Raw genomic sequence first — 8,356 nt, forward strand, 5'->3', positions numbered from 1 at the left:
CTCAGATGAGACTTTGGACTTAGACTTTTGAGTTAATGCTGAAATGAGTTAAGACTTTGGGGGACTACTGAGAAAGCATTATTGGTTTTGAAATGTGAGGACATGAGATTTGGGAAGGTCTGGTGGCAGTATGATATGGTTTGGCTGTGTCCCCACCCAAATCTCATCTTGAATTGCAGCTCCCATAATCTCCACATGTTGTGGGACAGACCTGGTGAGAGGTAATTGAATCATAGGGGAGGGTGTTTCCCATGCTGTTCTCATGATAGTGAATAAGTCTCATGACAGCTGATGGTTTTATAAAGGGCAGTTCCCCTGTGCACACACTATTGCCTGCCACCATGTAAGACGCCTTTGCTCCTCCTTCACCTTCCACCATGATTGTGAGGCCTCCCCAGCCATGTGAAACTGTGAGTCCACTAAACCTCTTTTTCTTTATAAATTACCCGGCCTCAGGTATTTCTTCATAGCTGTATGAAAATAGACTAATACACTCATGTTGTTTTATGAATCTATACAGTAAACATTTATAAGGACCTATCATGATGCTACAAATTGTGGTACCATAGGCATAATAGTGGACAGGATACAGTCCCTGCCTTCAAAGAACTTACAGTCTAATGGGAGAGATTCAATTCAAAATGTTACATTCTCAAATAAATAGAGAGTTAGTGAAAACAAATGGGAAGAATAATTATCCTCATATAAGAAAGTAGCAGGGAAATTATCCCAGATCATATGACTCTAAGCTTAGTCTTAAAGATTAAGTAGAAGTTAACCCAACAACTACGGTCTGGGTTGTGGTGGAAGAGGGAGGAAAGATGGGCAAGCTTCCAGGAAGAGAGAAAAATTTCATGTTAAATCCCAGCAGTGAAAGAAAACATGGCACAAGCAGGGAACTAAAAGGCTGGAGTACAGTTAGATGAGGAAAAGTGCTGAAAAGTTAGGCTGCATGCTTGGCCAAGTTCCAACGACAGTGGAGAGCCATTAAAGAATTTCAAATAAGGAAAGAGAAAGTCAAATTTATGTTTCAGAAAGCTCATTTTGATTTCAATATGGATAATTCACAGGAGTGGGAACAACCTAAAGATGGAGATACTAGTTGTTAGGAAGAAGCAGTTGCTGGAATCTAAGAAATGGAGGAGGCTGGAAAAGTAGAGGCAAAGAGCACAAAGAGAATTGAGCAATATTGAGAAAGTAAATGGATAGGAGGAGTTAGGGTTGGTTGAATGTGTTGGGGCAGGGTGACAAGGGAGGGCAGTCAGCAGTGAGACAGGAGATAAGGATAAGTCCCAGTTACCTATCTCTGAAAACTGGATGAATAATCGCACCATTTGCCTAGGAAGCAAACAAAGCAAGAGTACAGAAGCAGGTTGGGGGACAATTAAATGGAGGTGAGCCAAACTGGAATATTTTAGTTCTGAATGTCCTCTGGGACTTCCAAGTGGAAAGGCCTGAAGATAGTTGGATATTCATGACTCTAGAGATCAAGAGAAAAATTTGAACTGGGTTCCTGATTTTCCCTAGCTGAAGAAAAAGATTGGTGACAGAATATAAGGACAAATAAATGACTGGTAATGGAAAACTGAGAGATGAATGCTACCTGCTGCAAAATTCAGGGACTAGAGAAAAGAAATCTAGCAAATATTTTCCTAAATATTCTCCTAGCTTTTCTAATTTGTTATTCCACAATATAGTATATAGAACATCCGTTTAGACTTCCAGTCAAATTGCGTTCATCTATGTTCCCAATGGAAATAATATTAAATGTCAATACTATACAAAAAGGTATAAATCCTAAAAACAAAGGAAAAATGAAAGGGGACAAGAGTTAGTGAAAAGTATCACCAAATGTTAAGATGTGGAAAGCAAATCGTGGAGTGGCAACTGAATTTGTAGGTAAATGGAAATTGAAACTTAGGCGCTTACAGTGGGAGACGATGCTGAAAAGTGGGCTTTTCCCATTGGATCACTGGAAAAATGTGGAACTTGAGACAACACCAGGCACATTGGTTGGCCATAGTGAGCTTTGGAGCTGGGAAATTGTTGAAAAATATACATAACCAGACCTCTTGCTTCCTGTCCCTCTCCTTGACCTGCACAGCCAGGTTAATACCCATTTCCAACTTCCCCAGAAAACCAGATGTCTAGTCTCTGAGAAATTAGTCCACAGAAATTCTGGACTAGAGACACCAAGAACAACAGTGTATAATCGTGATGAAAGAAAAAGAAGGATTAAATGCAAATACATCATTTCTGGATAGCATTTTATTATCAACTTTCCAGCATAATTTTAGTTTTTTAAGTAATGTAGAGGCGATTCCATAAAAATGTAAATTTGTCTAATAAAAGACTATCAAATCATCCTCATGTAATTCTCTCATTCTTTTTATTTTTTTAAGAAGGAAGAAATATGCAAAAACATCCATGTTCTGTGATGCTATTATAACTTAGGGCAATGCTCTTCACTTGGATAGTAATAAAAGTGAAGGAAAACAAGGCAGTAAGATTGGAATCTCTACAACCATGCTTCCTGACAACTCTTTCAGAACCATCAGTGGTAACACAAAGGCCAGCAAGGACTGAAATCCTGTTAATATGGGAGGGGGGCACGGAAGTGCTGGGTAGAGAAAGGCAGGGTCCCTGGCAAGGGCTCCACCCTTGGGCCTGTGCCCATGGACCTAAATGAGGACAGGTGTTTCTGTTTTCATGCCCAAAAGATTGCCTTTTGGCCTGCTACATCCCCCACCCTGTGCCCATAAAAACCCAGGAACCTAGCCAGCACAGACACAAGCAGCTGTTGAGAGGAACAGAACACATCTACAGACACCAGCAGACACTGGCAGGCCAGCAACAGTGGAACAACGTGGACACCAAGGGGAATTCAGCCAGGAGCAGTCAGATGTGAGTCTGGCCACTGAGCAGCCCAACTCCAGGGGAAGACCACCTTCCCACTCCATCTCCCTTCTGGCTCCCCGTCTCTCTCACTGACAGCTGCCTCCACCACTCAGTAAAACCTTGCACTCATCCTCCAAGCCCATGTGTGATCCAATTTTTCCAGTATACTAGGGCAAGAACCCAGGATAAAAAAAAGCCCTCTGTCATTGCTAAGGCAAAGGGTCTAATTGAGCTGATTAACACAAGCTGCCTGCAGACAGCAAGGCTGAAAGGACATACTGCAACACACATCCACTTGGGCTCCAGGAGTTGTAAACACTCACTCCTAGACGCTGCCATAGGGTCAGAGCCCAAAAACGCTCTCCACAACTTCTGCAGCTGCCCATCTGCATGCTCCCCTAGGGGTATGAGCAGCAGGGCACCAAAGAAGCCAGCTACACCCCTGTCACATGCCCTGTGAGGGGAAAAAGGGACCTCTCCCGTTTCACTATGCTGCCCAGAAAATTTGGATCTTCTTGAATTCCTTACCTGTCTAGTGGAGGTTTCTACCGATGAAAGGACCTCGGAAGTTCCTCAAATCCAAAGGTGCTGGCTGGGAAGATGAGTGCAGAACGGGAGCCCAGTCTTGCTCCTCCATAGGGCTGCAATTGCCCCCAACAGCTGTCAGGATTCCAGGTGCCTGACCTCCTCTGAACTCCCTTGCAGCAACTAGAGAGTATTGCTACATGGCCATGTGATTCTCAAGCCTGCCATACCCCCTGTTTTCCTAATACTACCTGAGGGACTCAAATTACAAACAATACTTCTTTGCCTTTACCCTGCTAGCCAGAACCTAGGTGACCTACAAAGGTTAGTAAACCTGTCCAAATCCAATTGCTGCACCTTTTTGCTTCTCCTTGCCTGACTCAAACCAGCAACCCCGGGACCAAGAAACTCCTCTCTGACATCATGGGATAAAGTTGAAGCTCTGCTGTTAGCTCTGTGGCCTTGATCAATTTACCCATCATTCTTTCTTGTACTTTCTTGAACTTTTCTGCTCTGCCTCACAGACTTGAGAGAGAAGCCCCAGTTTTCATAATAGAAAATTCCTCCTACCCGTGGATGAAGTTTTCATTTCTTTCTGCATAAATATACATTTTCTTGGTCACCTCTGAAATTATTTCTTCATCAGTCCTCTTAGATTTTTATTTTGTTCAACTGTTTTCCTTTACTTCAGCTGATCTTACAGATCTTACAGGCGACTCATTTCAGTTTCTTGCTTATTCCTAATCATATGCTTCTGAAATTATATGTTCATGAAAACACACACCACACACACACACACACACACACACACACAGGCACACAAGTGCTCATTCCTGGATGGCTGTTTTATTGTTACCATAGAGATATATCAGTTTCCCATACAGTGAAAAAGCTGGATCATGACTCATGAATATTTATTTCATCTTATATTTGATTATTCCATTTTTAACATCTATGGCAAAAATGGATATTTTGTTTTCAATGTCTTTTTAGTTCAACTTTTTTCTTTTTAAGATAACAGTTCATGCCCACTCAAAACAAAAAAAAAAATGCACTGAAACTATTAATGTAATTTGGACAATTATCCTAATACGTTAGTTTCTAAATAGGTATATAAAGAGTTAATATGTGTAAAATTTTGGTGAACCATTGAGTATCGTTCTACATTGTATATTTGTTAACCAGTATGTTCACCTGAAGAATTACACGTCATTATTAAGGACTCCTCTAGTTAATCACAAGATGTGTGTGCCTGTTATCTGCCTAACACAATTTCTGTGGTTCACATGGACAAAGAAATTTGGAAACTACCACTAAATGAGAATACTTCAGTAACATTCACCAAGTCTTGGGGGGGTGATTCAACTGTTCTTATATTTCTTTACATTTCTGGATGACTTTGCAGTTTTCAAAGCACTGTTATTTATGTGACAGGGTATGAGCATTCAACCTTCTTTATTATGAAAACAACACTTTTGCTCATATATCTATTCTGTGCTGCATTAGAAAGTTAGAATGTATACATATATATTTTCCCCACACTTCCTAAGAATGTTTGAAGCTTAAGCTTTTCTTAACTTCAAAGAAATAAAACCAGTTTTTAGCCTGATACTAGTTCTAACTCTGAGTTTAATGGCAAAACAAGGCCTTTTATAAAAGCAAATGAAAATAGACGGTTTTAGAGGTGGAGAAAATTCATGTGAAAAAATAGAGTTTGGTGAGGGAATTACTGAGGAGGAGCAAGTTTATTTGATGATCAGCTGGGGCTCTGGGAGTCTGGGGAGAAGGAAAGGCTCTGGCCTGAGAAAAAGCCTAAGTATTTTTCAGGTGTATGAAGTGATTTGTCTATTGACTGCCCACCAGGAGTGATGACTTTACACGGCAACTAGAACATTTCCAAGCCTAGTACCCCAGAACACTTACAAACCTAAAGAGGGATCCCCGGGACCGGCAGGGGAAAGGCAGTGAGGATCCCCTTACCAGTACTCGGTGGCTAAACTGAATAAGAATAAGCCCCAGACCCTTGTTCTGGGACAGGAATCCTGGATTTTGGACACTATGTTGACCATAAATTATCTCACTGAGCCCCCAAGAGCCCAGCTATGGGGGTTGCGCATGTCTTTGTTATCCCCATTTCCACAGATGAAGATGAAATCTTCACATGTGGTTAGGAGCATGGACTTGGGGGCCAAGAAGATTTGAACCTGATTCCATGTTATTCCTTAGAAGTTATTTGTTGAGCAAGTCATATTTGGTTTCTCTAAGCCACCCTTTCCCCATCTGTAAAAAAATAGGCAAAATATCATAGCACGTGCATTTATAGGAGTATTGCCATGAGCTCATGAAAGTCAGCTCATGCAAGTAACAAATGTAATAATCCAGAGGCTAGATCATAATAAGAATTCAATAAGTACAAGCTCTTGCTAGCATTAGGTAAAGCACAAAAAGATGAAGTGACTTGTTCAAGATAGTGTGGCTGGTTAGTAATAGCATCAGGGATCTCTCCACCAGCTCACATTACTTCTGAGACATCAACATGGTATCCCTCCTGGGAGGTGGCAGCATCACTGGAGAGCCTCCTTCAGGCTTTACCAACCTAATTGATTATACCTAGAAGGGATACTTGGTTCGTTTATGCTTTTTGTCACTCAGGCTCAATCAAACAAGCAGACTGTGTGCTTAGTCATTTCTCCTGCCTCCAATCTGTTCTTCACCCTACAGAAAGAGAAATAGAACTCCTTAACTGGAAGTTAAGGCCTGTTACCACTGGCCCATGAACTTGCTCATCAGAAATGTTGTTAACCATGACATCTTCTGGGACCCCTTGAAGCAGATGGACTCCACTTTCTCTGTGCCTTGAGGACTGGAGATTCAGTTCTGCCTCCATGCATTGCCTACATCATCTTCTCAGGGATGGGGCAACCAGTGTCTCTGTTTGCCTGTGACAGTCTCATTTTATGCCTCATGTCCAAGTATAATTACTAATAGCACCACTTTCACTCTTAAGAGTGGCCTGAAGCCTGAATTGAATCATACATTATATAATCACTTTATTATGGCCTCTCCAATCTGAAAGCTCCTCTTGACTGCTCTCCATTCAACCAATTCCTGCTAGTTCTTCTGAGTCAATTCAATTCTACCTCTGCGTCAACTTTTCCCAACTATTCTTTATATGATGATTTTCCTCTATCTGGATCATTTACTGGGTTGCACCGGATTCTGTCGTGCATGTTATACATAGTTTTCTTCCATTTATATTGAATCCTTAAATGTCATTTATAATAATGACATTTATATAATAATAGCTTGGGATACTACAGTTCTCTAAGAACCAGTTTTCTGCAATGTAGAATGTATATAATAATATATTTCTATAGAAATAAGGCCAGGTGTGGTAGCTCACACCTGTAATCTCAGCACTTTAGGAAGCCAAGGCGGGCAGATCACTTGAGGTCAGGACTTTGAGATCAGCCTGGCCAACATGGTGAAACCCTGTCTCTACTAAAAATACAAAAATTAGCCAGGCACGGTGACACGCATCTGCAATCCCAGCTACTCAGGAGGCTGAGGCAGGAGAATCGCTTGAACCCAGGAGGCGGAGGTTGCAGTGAGCCAATATTGCACCACTGCATTTCAGCCTGGGTGACAGAGCAAGAATCCATCTCAAAAATAATAATTACAATAAATTTATATAGAAATAAATAAATTGTCAGCTAAATATTGCTTCACCTATGAAGAAGAAAAATCTTAAGTTATCCCTCCCTTTTCTGTTTCTCTTAGTACTCAACAATTTCATGATTAGTTAAAAACGGGTATTTATCCCATCCCCCATTTAAACATTGCCAAGTATTTTTCAATTTCAATGCCTCCTTTTTGCTTTTTTCATCATCCAATTGCTCATTAAGTCCTGTGAATTTTGTCTCCAGAAATGTTTCACCTCTGCTTTTTTCTTCCTTCCTATTGTCAGGGCCTTCCTTTGAATCTTCATCTTCTGCTTTTTAGATGACTGAATTAACATCCTTACTAGTTTCTCTGTATGTAGCTATTTTACTGTCGTAGAACTTTTGCACTACTATTAATGTGGTTTTCTAAAGTTTAAATGTAATCTGGCTCCTTCCCTATGGGAAAATCTTTACATGCCATCCCATAAACCACAGGAAAAATTCCAAATTCTGAGGTATAGAATGATATAAGCTCATGTCATTCAGGACCATTTTAGTTATAAGTGAAAGAAAACCACAATCAAATTTACTTTTGGAAGGTATATATTGGCTTAGATAATTGAAAACATAGGGGCATAATTTCTTCAGTGACAGCTTGATCAAGAGGTCCTAAGGATATTGCCAGGAGTTGGTCTTTCTTTGCCCCTAGTTTTGCACTACTCTACATCGTTCTTGGACTGCACGTGGTTGCCAACTAATTCAAATTTGTAAAAATCAAATAGAATATATGTGTTTCTCAATAGTTTGAATAAAAGTCCTATGCCTTTTGGGTTTACCTGTTTGCGATTGAACCAGTCACTGTTAGAAAATACAATTTTGTTTTAATTTGCCAGGCTTGAAATATATACCCAGCTCTAGAGACTGGGAATGGAGCCAATACCTTCAGAAGCAGGTGGACTGAGAGTAAGGAAGAGTTTTAGTTACCTAGAATAAAACTGAGGTACTTATATCAAAAGATAAAGCCAGTGGGAAATTCTGGATTGCTGGCAGCAGTGGAAGCATTGTCATTTTTGGATCTGCCAAGATCCGCAGGGAGCTAGATAGCAAAACCAAAAACTACTGGACAATAATTACAAAAAAAAATCTAAAGGATGAGGTATCCATTGTCAAAATGAAAGTAAGTGGAGACAAACCTTCAATAGCCAGAAGTCCTGCATGATATTGGTCTTGCAGGAGAAAGCAGGAAACAAAAGGATGCCTGATGAATCCAA

Source organism: Homo sapiens, chromosome 8 (genome assembly GCF_000001405.40).
Source record: "Homo sapiens chromosome 8, GRCh38.p14 Primary Assembly".
Lineage (NCBI taxonomy): Eukaryota > Metazoa > Chordata > Mammalia > Primates > Hominidae > Homo > Homo sapiens.